The 15,871-nt window shown below is 39.3% G+C and overlaps 1 protein-coding gene across 2 annotated transcripts in view, besides 3 other annotated features; it reads right to left on the bottom strand.

Annotated features, from left to right (window-relative positions):
- Positions 1-6,470, bottom strand: part of RPP30 (ribonuclease P/MRP subunit p30) — a 36,583-nt gene extending 30,113 nt beyond the window's left edge. For both annotated transcript variants that reach the window (NM_001104546.2, NM_006413.5), the window contains exons 1-4: positions 6,376-6,470; positions 3,520-3,575; positions 2,830-2,886; positions 2,346-2,420 (exon numbers count right to left, since the gene is read on the bottom strand). In NM_001104546.2, the coding sequence (NP_001098016.1) occupies positions 2,346-2,420; positions 2,830-2,886; positions 3,520-3,575; positions 6,376-6,457 (270 nt within the window). In that variant the 5' untranslated portion in view covers positions 6,458-6,470. The remainder of the gene's footprint in view (positions 1-2,345; positions 2,421-2,829; positions 2,887-3,519; positions 3,576-6,375) is intronic.
- Positions 6,160-6,219: an enhancer, noted in NCBI's record as "active region_3757". NCBI's record gives its function as "activates an Ori minimal core promoter by ATAC-STARR-seq in GM12878 lymphoblastoid cells {active_cell/tissue: GM12878}" and the evidence as "EXISTENCE:reporter gene assay evidence [ECO:0000049][PMID:35858748]".
- Positions 6,338-6,632: an enhancer, noted in NCBI's record as "tiled region #7939; HepG2 Activating DNase unmatched - State 1:Tss, and K562 Activating DNase unmatched - State 1:Tss". NCBI's record gives its function as "activates a minimal TATA promoter and a strong SV40 promoter by Sharpr-MPRA in HepG2 and K562 cells {active_cell/tissue: HepG2 | K562}" and the evidence as "EXISTENCE:reporter gene assay evidence [ECO:0000049][PMID:27701403]".
- Positions 6,350-6,619: an enhancer, noted in NCBI's record as "active region_3756". NCBI's record gives its function as "activates an Ori minimal core promoter by ATAC-STARR-seq in GM12878 lymphoblastoid cells {active_cell/tissue: GM12878}" and the evidence as "EXISTENCE:reporter gene assay evidence [ECO:0000049][PMID:35858748]".

Below are 15,871 nucleotides of genomic sequence, written 5' to 3'. Positions count from 1 at the left end.
TGAAAAGACTAGAAAAAAATACATTTATACACAAACATACAATCTCTGAATTATGGAATAAAGTGTGGTATTTCTTCTCTGCTTGTTGGCATCTTCTAAAATTTTGCAATCTCTTATTTTGTAAAAAGAAAAAGTATAATAAAAGTTAGGAGGGTATAAGAGAAGCAGCAGGTGCTGTGCTTGAGCAGGTAAGAGGGCCTGCTAGGCAGACTTGTGCTGAGGCAGGGCAGGGTCCAGGTCTTAGAAATAGCCAGGATCTGGGATTTGCTCTCCTTTACCTGCCCACTCCCACTTGTGAAGGAGACAAAAAGGAACCACCAAGATGTTCATGGTAACAAGAGTAAATGAAAGTCTTTACAACCTATCAAAAGTCAGCTCCATTTATGTCTACCTGGGCCTAAGGAACCAGAATGCTGCCTTGCAGGTGTGTAAGACACCAAAAGTTGGCTTTTCACAATTTCTTTAGCAATAGTAACTGTTATAAAGGGAGTCTTTCCTTAATTACTTCTATTATATGATGGAGATGTCCATCCCAGCTAAAGATGAAACAGTTCACCTTCTCAGGGAATCTCACTTTCTCTCTCCCCTGATAGTAGGCATACCCAAACCTCTCTCATTTAAGAAACAAAATCTCTTTATGCAGCAGATTCTTATCCACTAACCACCCTACGCCTCCCATTCTCCTATGGAGTCAAATTTCTTAAGCAAAGTCAGCAGCACAGTCTGCATTTTTCCACATCCCTATTATATCAATTGAAATGGTTTTTGCTAAGGCAGCCAAGGACTGTCACATCAATAAATCTGACAGACTTTTTTTTTTTTTGCCTGTCTGCTTGACCACACAGGTATACTGACCCTGCTGACCTTTCATTCCTCCTTTTCTGTTTTCCCTTTGCTTGCTGTCCTTCTACTTCTAGGGTAGTCCCTTCTCAGTCTCCAATCCTAGCTCATCCTCTTTCATACCATTAAATAGTGAAGTTCCTTAGGACTCTGTACTAAACCTCTTCTTCCCACAATGCACTTTGGCCAGGGAGTCTCATCCATTCCCGTGATTTCAATTACTCATGCAGGTGACCACTTCCAAAGCACCATCTTTAATTGGGATCACTCTTCTGAAGGCCACATCTTTTTTTTTTTGAAATGAAGTCTGGCTCTGTTGCGCAGGCTAGAGTACACTGGTGTGATCTCACTGCAACCTCTGCCTCTCTGGCTCAAGTGATTCTCCTGCCTCAGACTCTTGAGTAGCTGGGATTACAGGTACCCGCCAGCACGGCCTGCTAATTTTTGGGTTTTTAGTAGAGATGGGGTTTCACCACTTTCACCAGGCTGGTCTTGAACTCCTGACCTCAAGTGATCTGCCTGCCTAGGCCTCCCAAAATGTTGGGATTACAGGCATGAGCCACTGTGCACATCTTTTTTGACGGGCTCTTTTGAAACTCTCACAGTAACTCATCAGGATGCCCCCAAACCTGCTGGTTTGTATGGTCCGTCTCAGGAAATGGTACACCATTACCTACCTGGCTGCTCAGGCCACCTAGGGAGTAATCATCCTACACCCAATTAACCAATAAATCCCATCAATTCTCCCTCCTGGATGCCTCTTAAGTACCCTCCTTAACTCCCTCTAATCCATTCTCTGTAATTCAAACCTCATTTCACTCCCTTAGTTAAAACCTTCAAGGGCTTCCAACTGCTCTTGGAATCCTCACCCAAATTTATATCTTTAACCTTATGCCATGTAACCGGCTCACTAGGCTTAGCCCTATTGTTTTGTTTCACTTCCCAGAAAATACCACGTTTTCCTTAGCTTCAGGACCTATGCATAATCCATCCTATCTGGGAACATTAGCTCCCTGCTTGTCACCTATTTAACATTTACTGACTCTTCTGTCTCCCAGCTTGAATATCAACTTACTCAGGTTACATACTCCCAGAGCATCCTTTATTTACCACTTCCCTACCTTGGAACATTCCTTACATTTGTAATTATTATTTGTTCAGTGCTTGCCTTGCCAATTAAACTTTAAGCTTTATAAGTTCAAGGATTGTGCTATTATTCATGGCAATACCCCCCAGCACCCACCTTAAGTCTGGTGCACGTGAGTTCAATGAGTAACAGTTGCCAAGGGATTCTTTAATTGTGGTATCACTACACATGTGCCATGAGTAAGTGGAACAGACATATTACACTGTGTGAATTCTGAGGACAAGGAGAGCAAGCAGGTGTCATGGTTTGGCGGGGGCGAGGGAAAATGTAAAATGGGGAAGACAAAATGCAACATTGTTCAACATTAATCAATACAACTCACAAAGCCAAAAGGAGAGAAGAAAAATAATTAACTTACCAAAACATTGCAGTGAGATGGATCCGAGACAATAATTGTTAATCTAGTTAAAATTTTAATTGGTCTTGATTTTCCCTATTTAAAAAAGACATGATGTCAAAAAAGCACAAAAGACAATAATTGATTTTCCTTTTTACCAGTGGAAAGTATTCATTAAAAGGTACTGGCTATAAGGGATAGTGAAGATCAATAAAACCCAGTCCTTGTTCTCTAGGAATTTACAATACAGCCACAGAAAGAGATGTATATATCTTAAACTACATAACGAGATAATTTAAAAATTGTAGGACTTCAGGAAAGAAGATCATCAAAGCAATGCTGAATTGATAGTAAAAGAATGTTTCCTGAAGAGCTGAGCCTTGAGGAAAACGTTAAGACTGGTACTCAGAGTAAGGTGCAGCTCAAGCTAGAGAATAGCACAATAATTAGGTACCTTTTAACTGAATAAATAGATATTATGCTTCGTAAACAACAAAACACCTACCTGTACAATTGGCAAAGTTGTGAAGAGTTCAGAAACAGCTACTGGTTTTTCAATTTCCTACAACAAACGATAAATAGTTACTGCAGATTGTATCCATTAATAGCACAAGGCATAATGGAAAAATTACGAGGTGTTCTCAGAAAAAATATGCATTTTTTTTAAAAAGAAAGCAAGGTGATTTCTGGTATTCAAAAAAACTTTTAAAAATTATTTTTAAAAAGAAAGCTAAATAGAGAAGCAACTGTAAACATCAGTGAATAGGAAGAATGAAAACTAATTTTTAGACTGAAATAATCTACAGGATACAGTTGTTGGCCTAAAGAGAAATATACATACTTATTAGTAATGTTTAAGAGAGAAAGTAGTTAATAAGCCCATGACAATAGAATAAAAAGGACTAAATATTTTGATTACAGTCCAGCCAATAACAATGCACTTTTTGAACAGTGAAAAGTAACTTAATTTCAAATCACCTTTAAGAATCCTGAACACTATGTCATATTACCTCACAAAAATCATCATTGTATAAATATGCATCAGCTCGACTGTTTCTATATAAAATAGAAAAGTAGTAGTGCACAAAGGGGTGCATTTAAGAAATATTCTAATCTGTAGCTTCCAAATTACCAATACAAACAGAATTACAAATACTTATTTATGAACTTATTAACTTTAGAAATATTATTTTACCTGTTTCTTTTCCTTAAAGTCAACGATATGATTGATAGCAACAACTGAATAGCCAACTGAAAAAGAAAAATTGAACACTTTTGTTAAATATAACAACCTCTCCTTCCTGTAACACAGGTCCATCCTGAGTCTAGATGTCAAGAGTAGGAGGACATTTGAGGAGTGGTTATGAATGTGAACTCTAGTGTCAGTCTGCCTGATTTAAAGTCTATGCACTACCACTTACAAGTTACTTAACATGAAGTTTCAGGTTCCTCATCTGTCAAATGGTGAAAATAACAACACTTTCTTCATACACTGTCATGAAATTTAAATGAAATAATACACATGAGGTGTTTGAGAACAGTGCCTGGCACACAGGTCTTTGTTTAACCATTATGAATTATTATTAAAATGATACTAAAGACTCTTAACTTTGTGCTTCTCCTTTTCAAATGTCATTCTCTTTCATGACCCTATATTCATTTTTATCCCATCAAGTTCCTACTTTATCACTGTCACTTTTATTCCCGTTCATTTCTTTTGCTTTTTATCCTTCTACTTCCTTCAGAGACTCCTTTCCTAAGGAGAAATGGAGTGATAACTCCCTCACACCACTGCCCGCTTCCCATTTTAAGCTGCACACCATCGACAGACTGGGAGCTCCTTGAGGTCAAGGGCTTGCTTTATTATCCTCATCAGTTAGCACTGTTCTGGACATTTGGGCTACCAAAAAAAAATCTAAATCATGACTCCCATCTTTAATTTTTAAAAATACCAATGGGGATGAAAGGATATTAACATTAAAATACATATCAATGCCAAACTCTCAACAGTTTGTCCAACTTCCTTCTTCCCTTCCTCCCTCAAATATTTACTGAGCATCCATTACTTGACAAGCCCTAAACTGGTGTTGAGCATACAGGATAAATAATATAATCCTTCTCCACAAGAAATTTACAGCCTAGTCTGTTGGAGAACGAAGGCAAATAAGGCAATTAAGCAAGTCATTGTATATAAATACATGTTTTTTATAAGTAAGGATTCTATGGAAGTACATAGCACAGTGAAACCTGGTGTAGGGGTCACAAAAGGCTCCCTGAAGAAAGTTACCCTTAAAAACAAAAAAAAAATCACAAGTATGCCTGTACCTTGGGCTTCACCTTGCACCCAGTTAGTCAAATCAACCAGCCACACCTCCTCCCTATTCTTCTTTACCACACTCCCAAATCTGCTCTAAACTTCCTTGTTATACCCATTTAGGATATCCTTTTGGCTACTAAACAATGTCCCTACCGTTCTACAGAAATGTCAACTAGGATCTGTTTCTCCACAAAACTTTTTCCTAGACTACTCCTCATCTGGCAGCTTAGGAGTACTTACTTCCCCAATCAGGCTTTAGGGTATTTTAATTTACACAGTATATTTCTGAAGCTTATTATTGGTTTCTTGTATCACATCAGAAACTGAGAACCAGGGCTCTGTCTTTCCTATTCTTTGCAAATGTCCACTATTTAGTTCCAGACTCATCAAATAGCAGAGCAGTCCTTTGTCTTTGACTTGTAAGTTGAGGCAACTTTATATGCCATGAATTCCATTTAATTTACAAACAAATAACCACTAACAATGTACATATATTACCACACCTCTTCCAAGTGTATTTTAAACTGGGGGAAATTCTCTAAAGAAATCATTATTAACTTTTCTTTTTTGTATTAATTTTTTTAATGTGTTCAGTTTATTCCACAAGCATTAACTGAGTAACTGCCATGTACTGGTGCCTGCAGAGTGAACGTGTTAAGCACAGTAAATAAAAGGATAAGACATGGCAATTCTCTTAGGAAGCTCATGATTTATTCAAAAATGGGATGGCGTCAGGAAAAGCCTCATTGAGGAGGTAATAATTGCGACAAACTACACCTAGGAAAACTTATTTTACAGGATCAAAGAACATTAGCGCCAAATGGCCCAGATCATCATGTCTACTTTCGTCTTCGTGCTGATGAGCAAAGTACCACAGAGATAACGTTCATTTAGTGGCAGCAGTGGAAAGGGACAGTCATTTCGCCACGGATACTTCATAAAGAGAACAATAAAAAAGTGGTGTGATTCACTTTGCCAAGAAGTGGTTGTCATTTCTAGCACCACCTCTGAACAGTATCAGTAATCAGAACTCACAATGAGCTGAAAACTGTCTCTGAGGAGCAGATGTTACTACACGAACCTCTTGATTCTTTTTAATCTCTCTATTCCAACACTTTACAGTCTACGGAATACAGAACCCATGACTAACTCCAATAGTTAAAACAGGTTCTCGTCTCTCAAGGCTTTCGCTTCCCTTCGATTTGGGCCATGCTATCCTCCTCCTCCACCTCCACTCCGCTGTGTATGTCCTCTGCCCCCACCTACCCTCTCTCTGTCTAGATAGTATTGTTCCAACACTCCCACGTCCTCCTCCTTCTCCGAGCCTCCACGGCGCTTCCTGTCCGTGCCCCAAATTCCAGTATTTGTTTAGACACTGTCGTGAGAATCAGGAAGGGCTGATAGTAACTTAGAAGCTTAGAAGATTGTACCCTTGGAGTCCAGCTCCGGCTTCTGTCACCTATCAGCTGTAGGCCCCTATGCAAATCCCTCGCCCTCGTTAGGCCTCAGTTCCCTCATTGCAGGAAAGTAGCTGAACCAGATAACAACCCCCAGAACCTTCGAGTTTCCCGCGCTAGGAATCAGACCAACACCTCGGCGGGCATCAGCCTCCAGGGACATCCCAGAGACTCTGGGAGACCTGACCGAGACCCATCAGGAAATAGTTACTCCGGAGTGTGGCCCGATGGTCTGGGTGGCATGAGGTTGGCCAGGCGCGAAGCCGGGGCAACTCACGGTGAGCGGCTGTCTCCACAAGTCCGCGCAGAGCCTTCAGGTCAGAACCCGCTCGCAGGTCCAAATCTGCAAACACCGCCATGCTGAAGTCCCATGACCGTCCGCGCGCGCCAGTCTGCGCAGCCGCTGAGCCCGCCCCTCAGGCATGCTGGGAGCTGTAGTTAACCTGCGCAGTCCGTCTCTACCTCCAGTTGACTAGGGATTCGGAGAAACTTACTTGCTTTGCTTTCATCTACCACCAGAATTTGTGTGTTGAAATCAACAGCTTCATTTCAATCTCTCTTTGTCTTCTTCTGAACGACAATGTTTGGTTCCCCCTGGAGGGGTTCCAATTCCCAACTATTCAATACTCCTATAAAATAGTGTAGAAATGAATTCATTCAAAATGCACGCACACGGTATCTACTTAGTGCTGCTCATGAATCAGAGAATTCTGCTAATGGGTGAAAACGCTATTTAAAGAGTCTTAAAGAACACGTTTTCCTTTCCTTTCCCTAAAGTCCATTCCGTTGTTTACAATGGACTTACCGGGAAGAAGGCGTTTGTGTGTGACGGACTCTAGGACTTCAAAAGAGAACTACCCCAAGACGAGGGTCTTTTTACCCAATCAGAACTGTTGATGTCAAAGCCCGCTATTCTCTGTGGCAGTCAACATCTTCAACCACAAGATGGCGGGACTCGCTCTAGGACGAGCGGTTAGAGCCAACATTGATTTAGCCAAAGACATGTTTGAAAAGGGAGGTGCAAAATTGAGATGTTTTACACTTTTCCAGCTGAGAAATGTACAAGGTGACGCATATCCCACATATCTGATGTTTCCACTTTTTTCCGACTTAGTGTAAATGATCTATTGAGGATAATAATCAATTATACTACAAAAGTGTGACTATAGTTTACATCAGTGCTCTCAAACTACCTGTGATGAAGGATCAGTTTCTCCCTCCTTTTCCTCTACCCCCAAACTCTTCGCGAACCAGGATGTGGTCCTTTATGCATTACCAGTAAGCAGCCTGGCCTCATGGGAATCACAAATTTGACAACACTCGAACTGCCCTATACCTGGCTGAATAGAATCTGCTGATCAGGAGCTTGGATTATCAGGACAATGCCAAAGTACTGTAAACTTTCTAAACATCTTCACTTTTTGTTTGTTTGTTTGTTTTATTAACGTGCGCACAGCAACAACAATCACAGAATTAGAGGCTCGGTCATTTGACCTAGGGAGTATCCTAGTTGGTGGCCTGCTGAGTTTTCGTTTCGTTTTGTTTTGTTTTTAGAGAGAGTATCTCGTTATTGACCAGGATGGACTCTAACGCAAGCAATCCTCTCTCCTAGCTGTGATTACAGGAGCCCACCCACATGCTTCACCCATCAATTTCTCTTATTTACTGATCACAAACAGTTCACAGATAGTCTCTCGTCTATGGACCACACCTTAACTAGTACTCCTTTATGCGATTTTCTTGTCGGTCTCAGAAGGGAGGAAGGATCTGTTCCATGCAGTAGCATGCAATTCTCTTCTTGGTTAACTTTTGTAAAGAAGAGATATTTTGCCTTTTCCAGTACTTGATATTTCCTAAGTGGGAGTAGAAGAGAATATTACTTCTGCAAATAGAATAAGGTCATATGAAGCAAACGCTTTGTTTTTCATGAGAATATCTAGTGTTAATTTTGCAGGGTCACACAGGCATCATCACCTATGACCATAACAATCTAGATTGGTCAGAAATATGACCAATGTGTGGTGAAGGTGAATAAGGTGATAGTTCAATTATTTTTTCATTTTTAGTTGACACATTGTAATTATACATATTTATAGGGTACAATTTCATGTTCTGATACATGTATATGTTGTATAATGAACAAATCAAGGTAATTAGCATATTCATCACCTCATGCATTTTTGGTGATAACATTAAAAAAAACTCTTCTAGCTGTTTCGTGATATATAAACAATACCTTACTGTTAACCATAGTCACCTTGTGTGCAATACAACATCAGAACTTATTCCTCCTATCTAACTTTGTACCTGTTGACCAACCTCTCCCCATCCTCCTCCCTCAATCCCTCCCTCAATACCAATCAGTTGGCTATAGGTGCATGCATTTATTTTTGGTCTCTCTATTCTGTTACATTATTGGTCTATGTGTCTGTTTTTCTGCCAGTACCATGCTGTTTTGGGTACTATAGCTTTGTAGCATATTTTTAAGTCAGGCTTTGTGATATCTCCAGCTTTGCTCTTTTTGCTCAGGACTGCTCTTGCTGTTTGAGGACTTTCGTGGTTCCACACAAACTTCAGGATTTTAAAAAATATTTCTGTGAGGAATGTCATTGGTATTTTCATAGGGATTGCATGGAATCTGTAGATCGTTCTGGATAGTATGTCTACTTCAACAATATTATTTCAGTTCATGAACATGGGATATCTTTTCACTTATTTGTGTCATCTTTATTTCCTTAATTTTTTTTATTGTACAGATCTTTCACCTTCTTGGTTAAGTTTATTCCTAGGTATCTTTTTTTGTAGCTATTGTAAATGGAATTGTTTTCTTGATCTTTTTAGATAGTTCCCTATTAGCATACAGAATGCTACTGTTTTTTTGTATGTCAATTTTGTATCCTGCAACTTCACTGAATTTACTTGCTAGTTTTAAATGGTGGAGTTTTTTTGGGGGAGCCTTTAGGGTTTTCCATGTATAAGATCATGTTGTCTGCAAACAGTAATGATTTGAGTTCCTCCTTTCCAATTTGGATGTCTTTTATTTCTTTTTCTTGCCTAATTGCTGTGGCTAGGAGACTGTTTAATTATCTGATGCTAGTATGAGACTAAAGTGGGCTTCTTTGAAAGTCACAGAACTTTTGCTGTGGACTGTACCATATAAACTTCTTTTCTTCTCTGCACCCTAAGCCTGGGTGAAGAGGAAGAGAAGAGGTAAGAAAGAATAGGAATAGATAACAATCAGTATTTAGCACTATACTGAGGGCCAGCGAATTTGCTAAGTACTTATGTATGTATCTTATTTTCAAAGCAGCTGTGTGTTAAATGCTGTTTTTTATTTTTGTTTTATTACTGTTTTCAGATCTAGACTTGCAGAAGTACTGTTTTTTACTTTTTGTTATTTTGTTTTTAAAATCAATATCCATTTTTTATATCTGAGAAAACTAAGGCATTATTAGTGGTAGAACTACATGTGGATGGAGGCAATTTGTTTCAGTTCTTGCCTAGTGTACTGCTTCCTGAGCAAAGCAAGCAGAGACTAGAGTTGTTTGGGAGGGAGGAGGAGAAGAAGAGAAAAGAAGAGAAGGGAGACCAGAGAGGAGAGAAGGAGAGTAGAGGAAAGGAGAAGTAGGAAGGGAGAAGGAAGGAAAGGAAAGAAGTGGAAGAGGGGAGAGAGAAGTGGAGAGAAGAAAAAGACAAGACAGAATAGGGGAGATGAACAGGGAAGAGGGGTCAGAAGTTGGCCTGAAGGGATGGCTGTGGCAACAAGTATCTGCACCTTGAAGAAGACCATAGAAATTTCTGACTGGAAGATAATAGTACTGTTTAAGACTGGTAGCAGTGGCTCACACCTGTAATCCCAGCACTTTGGGAGGCTGAGGCAGGAGAATCACTTGAAGCCAATTCACGACTAGCGTGGGCAACAAAGTGAGACCCTGTCTCTACAAAAAATAAATTAGCCAGAAGTGGTGGCACACACCTGTAGTCTGAATTACTGGGGAGGCTGAGGTGGGAGGATCCCTTGAGCCCAGGAGTTCCATGTTATTATACAATGAGCTATGGATTGCACCACTGCACCCTGGTGTGGGTGACAGAATGAGACCTGTCTCTTAAAAATCCTAGCTACTTGGGAGGCTGAGGCAGTAGAATTTCTTGAACCTGGGAGGCAGAGGTTACAGTGAGCAGAGATTGCACCATTACACTCCAGCCTGGGCAACAAGAGTGAAACTCCGTCTCAAAAAAAAAAAAAAAGTACTGTATAATTATGATAAGCATTTTACATCAGTTATCTGATTTGATCCTTACAATAGCCAATGAGAGAGATATTGTTATTCCCATTATATCAAGGAGAAGTCCTGGGCTCAGATAGGATGGCTCTTGAGTCATTTCTTCTTCTGCGGGAAGCCTAGAAAAAGAGGATGGTTTTTCACATCCAACGCAATCATTGAGCCCTTCTCATCCTCCCAGAAGAGCTCTCTTTTCTGGGCTGTGTGTGGGCTTGGGTGTGTGCTTGATTAGTCTTTGGCCTTATCCTAAGTTTATTCCATTCACCCCTCCTGAGTGAACTGAAAAATGCTCCACCCAACCCCTGTCCTCTTGCAGCTTAAGGCCGAGGGGGAGCCAGGCAAGAAAACCATATTATAAAATGATTTAGCCAGATGTATTGGGAGCACAAAGCAGAGATTTATCTCCCAGATTGAGAGGGAAGTTTGGGAGATCTGAAGGGAAAAAATGGCAGTTTCCTTGAGGGAGTAATGCTTGAATTAAATTTTGACACATGGAAGTGGAAGAGGAACATACATGAGACAGAGATCTAGGGTGTTGAGGGTATATCCAGAGCTGGCACAAAGTAGGTGGTACTCAGCCAAAAGTAACTGATTGAATAAATGAACTCATGGCCTCTTGTTTGACTTTGTTCCCATATCAACAGAATTGTAGCACTGTTGGATGTATTATTTAATCACCTGGCCAGAAATTCACTGAACTGTGCACATGGTGCACTAGTGTGATACACCAGCAACTGAAACAGAACCATCCTCTGTGTCCCACATGGTGGGACACTTATAGGAGCTCTTGGGGAGACTAAAAGAAGATGCCTTAACTCCAGGCTGATATTACAGTTGCCCTATTCATCACATATCTGGAAGTTTGTGCAGTGAACCATCTGCCCAGCCTTTCCCAGAAGCCCTCATAAAGCAGACCAGAGGGGTTAATTGCTAAACCTAGAACTCTAGTGGCACTCCATAGGACATCACCAATCCAGGGAGCTGCTCACAGCTCACAGTGATTCCTTCCTCATCTTCTTACCTTCCCCCAGAAACTCTTGTTACTGACCTGATATCATAAAAATTTGTCCACTTTCTGTGCTGGGGTAATCTGCCCCTGCTTGCAATATTAGTTTTCTTTTGAAGTGCAGGTAAATGAAAGTGAAATTTTTTTACACTCATGTTTCTATTAAAAATTGGAAAATGAGACAGATGTAGGCTTGTATTTACAAAAATTTGCATAAGAACATGCTTGATTGTGAAAATAAAGAGTAGTCCTACCTCTTTAAGATGTAAAGTGTGCCTGATTTTTTAAAAAAAATACAATTTAAGGAGCCATTATGAAAGAAATCAAAGGAAGAATTATGACTGGTATAGGGAAAAGATGCATGATGATAGACTTAAATGTAAAGAAGAGGACTGAAATTTCAACAGGATTTTTGAAAAACAAATAGAATAAATGATGGTATTAGGATTCTCCAGAGAAAAAGAATCAACGTGTTTGTGTGTGTGTGTGTAGAGTGACAGCGAGAGAGAGATTTATTTTAAGGAATTAGCTCAAGTGATTATGGAGGCTGACAAGTCCTAAGATCTGCAGTCAGCAAGCTGGAGATCCAGGGCAGCTGATGGTGTCATTCCGGTCTGAGTCTAAAGGCCCGAGAACCAGAATTGCTGATGGTGTAGTTCCAGGTAGGCTGGCTCAAGAAAGAGCTGACATTTCAATTTGAGTCCAAAGGCAGGGAAAAGCTGATGTTCCAGATCAAAGGCAGTCAGGCAAAGGAATCTTCCCTTTCTCAGGGGATAGTCAGCTTTCTGTTCAGGCCTTCAACTGATTGGATGAGGCCCACCCACATTAGGGAGGGCAATCTGCTTTTCTCAGTCTACCTATTCAAATGTCAATCTCCTCCAGAAACATGCTCACAGACACACCCAGAATAATGTTTGACCAAATATCTGTGCACCCCATGGCCCAGTCAAGTTGAAACATAAAATTAACTTTCACAGTGATGCTGTCTAGAAATGCTTACATATTAAGTGAAAAAAAAATTGCTCAGGCAACAAAAACTTTGTATCAAAGGCAAGTTTAAAAAGAAAGTTTATTGGAGGCAAAAGAAAGCACAAGTCCTAAACAGAAACTAACATTTACAAATGTAATATCTGTAGCTTTTACTGCTCAGTATGTTGTAAATATGGCTTAGAGCTTGCAAGACAAGTTATATGAAAAAACCTAAGTTATTTCTGGCATTTTTTCGTTGCAGCTGATAAGTGTATAGAAACCTAAAAGCTATTTGTGTTGGAGAGTATTTTGAAATGACTAAAAATTTTTTTTGGAAATGGCGCTTCAAAAAGGCACATTAGGAAGTAGCTTATTTTTGTGTATGGAGAAGAGGTTTTTTTTTTTTTGTTTTTTGTTTTTTTTAGAATTTTAAAGTACACTTTTCAGAATTGGTAACCATGGCTACGGATGGGACTCCAGTAGGGGTCAGTGTTACCATCAGACTTATGAAATATAAGCACGATGTAACAAGATTTTGTCAAGACACAGAATTTAAGCCAATTTATTGTACCATTAACAAGAAACCACTTTGAGCTCTAAATTTAAAAGCCATACCAATAATAGCTAAGGCACTAACCATGGCCCACACAGTTCATGCTCCAAATAGCTACAGTGGATGTTGAGAACTCAATTTTGAGCGGCTGAAAGAAATTTACTTATTAATGTCATCAAGGTTAAAATATCCATCTTGGCTCACCAGTGATGGCTGAATCAAAGATTTGGTTCTTGTGGTTGATGATATAACCCCTGCCCCTTAAAAAAATCATATAAGCAGATTTATTCATATATAACAAAATTACATCTTTGGGAAACTCATCTGGGTAGGAATGATCTAGCCCATTTTTTGCACTGAAACTGGTTTTCAGATATGAAAATTATGGACTAACCCTTTATTGCAGCACCAAATTGTGAAGTCGAAGACTATGATCCAAAAAAGACACTCTGATTTAAACCTTTAGACTTGATGATAATATTGCTTAATTTGCCTTTTTCAATTGCTACTGCTAGTGCGAATAAAAATTACAAAAGGAAGTTTTTGAACAGCAGTGCATTGTATTGAGAACTTAAAATGATAATATTGGAACACTAGAATTTTACAAATATCTTGCCAGTAATTAGTCTAAATTGGAGATTAGTAAACTATGGTCCATGGGTGAAATCCGGTTTGCCACCTGTTTTTGTATGCCTCGCAAGCTAAGAATCATTTTTAGATTTTTAAGTATTTGAAAAAACATTTAAATGTGTTATTGAACAATTAGTGTCAGTCAACAACTTATTTTAGAAAAATAATGTGACCCTTCTTGCGCAGAGTAAAACTCATACCTACCTTGCATGGCACACAGGTTTCTTTGTGATCTTCCCCAAAGGTCTACCCTTGCCATTTTCCACAGCTATGGCAAGTCTTCCATGTGTTTATGGACCCTGTCAGCGTTGCATTCTCCTTTCCTCAGTCTTCTAATGAACTTTCTACTCGAGCTGATATGTTAGCTCTGTGAATTTTTTGGTCTTTCCAAGCAGGGCTAATACCTCTTTCCTCTGGGCTCTCATACCTTTGGTTCATACCTATATTAGGAGACTTTCACATTGTACTGTAATTATTTACTCGTCTGTCTCTTCTACCAATGAACATCTGCAGAGCAGAGAACCTGCCTTATTTATTGACCCCAGCACTTAGCACAGTGCCTATTAATATGTAGCTAGGGCATGCTTATTGAATGACTAAAAGAATGGATCAGGCTGGGTGCAGTGGCTCACACTTGTAATCCCAACACTTTGGGAGGTCAAGGCAGGTGGATCACCTGAGGTCAGTGGTTCAAGACCAGCCTGGCCAACATGGCAAAACCCCATCTCTACTTAAAAATACAAAAATTAGCCAGGTGTGGTGGCAGGAGCCTGTAATCCCAGCATCTTGGGAGGCTGAGGCAGGGAGAGGTGCTTGAGCCCGGGAGGAAGAGTTTCAATGAGCCAAGATCGCACCACTGCACTCCAGCCTGGGCAATAGAGCGAGACTCCATCTCGAGAAAAAAAGTCGCAACAAATCAAATAAAATAATGGATTAGGCATAGTTTTTCCTAGAAATGGGATATGACTGTGATGGTAATTTTACTTTAAGATATCATTTTGTTGAATATAGAAGGATTCATAAAATTCTAAAGAAACTGTAGAATAAGATGTGTCCTATCACTTCTTCAATGAAAGCCTTACTTCTATTTTGATTATCTTGAAATACCACAAATCTCTCTAGATTTTGCCCCAATTACTGATTGCCCTTTTGAGTAAAACTACTCCAAAAGTTGTCCACCTTCTGAATTGCCATGTTCTGTCTTTTGATCTCTCGAATCCATTCCAATCTGTTTTACCCCTACCATTGCACTGAAACAGTTCTTGCCTTACTTTGCACTTAACTCAGTCAATTTCTACCCCCTTGAAACATTTTCTTTCCTTGACTTTAAATATCCAATTTCTCTTGGTTCTTCTCCTGCCTGACTGCCCCCTCATTCTCAGTCTTTGTTGGTTTCTTTTCCTCTCCAAGATCTCAGGATGTTGGTGCATCCCACGGTTAAATCCTCAGGACTCTTCTGTAACTACTTTTCCTCTTGGGAGATTTTCCCCTGAAATTGTATCTGCATAGCTGACATCTCCACTTGAATAATCCAATAGTATCTTAAACTTAATGTGTCCTTTTAAAACAGAGCTCCTAAAACAATATCTGGTTTGCATTAGACACTCATTAATTAATGTTGACTCAATGAATGATTGCTACTTTAATCTATTTTTTAATTGAGGAATTTAAATTTTCTTCTCATTAGAAATCTTTCAGGAAGGATTGGGAGCTGACAATGTCAAATGTGTTCATTGATAAAAACTTTCCATGAAAGTTGTCTCTGTGGAATTTGTGCTGCTGAATAGATTCCCCACTAGGGGGTATGCATGCACCACATACATTTCGAAAACAGTCCTGGTTAAGAAAAATTGAGTGATTAATAAAATAAATAAGGGCTCTTGGATGTAGCTGTTGTCTGATTTTTCATTTATCTTGTTTGGAGGAAACTTTTTAAAGGTTACCTTTATTTTGTAAAGAGAATGAAAATTTTCTAAATGGAAAGAATCAAAGAAAAAATGTTTTTATTTTTAGTATGTCTAAATTAAAACAAAACACAATTCACTTTTAGGCTGAAGAATTACTTTACAACATGAATGATTCTTGGTTATAGGCATTATTCTACACTCAGTTCAACTGACTAATGTTTATTGAACACCTAGTATATGGCAGGAGTAAGGAAATATCCCTCCCTTTGATAAGTTCACAGTCTAATGGGGAAGACAGTCATGGAAATATGAAGCATAATGCAACAGTAAGTACTATAATAAATATAATTTAAAAGTGCTTTAAAAGCCTACAAAGAATGAAATTAACTATGGCGAGGGGTGCTGTCACTGAGAAGGAGACATTC

This window comes from Homo sapiens, chromosome 10 (assembly GCF_000001405.40).
Source record: "Homo sapiens chromosome 10, GRCh38.p14 Primary Assembly".
Classification (NCBI taxonomy): domain Eukaryota; kingdom Metazoa; phylum Chordata; class Mammalia; order Primates; family Hominidae; genus Homo; species Homo sapiens.
This window is presented reverse-complemented; position numbering and strand designations above follow the sequence as displayed.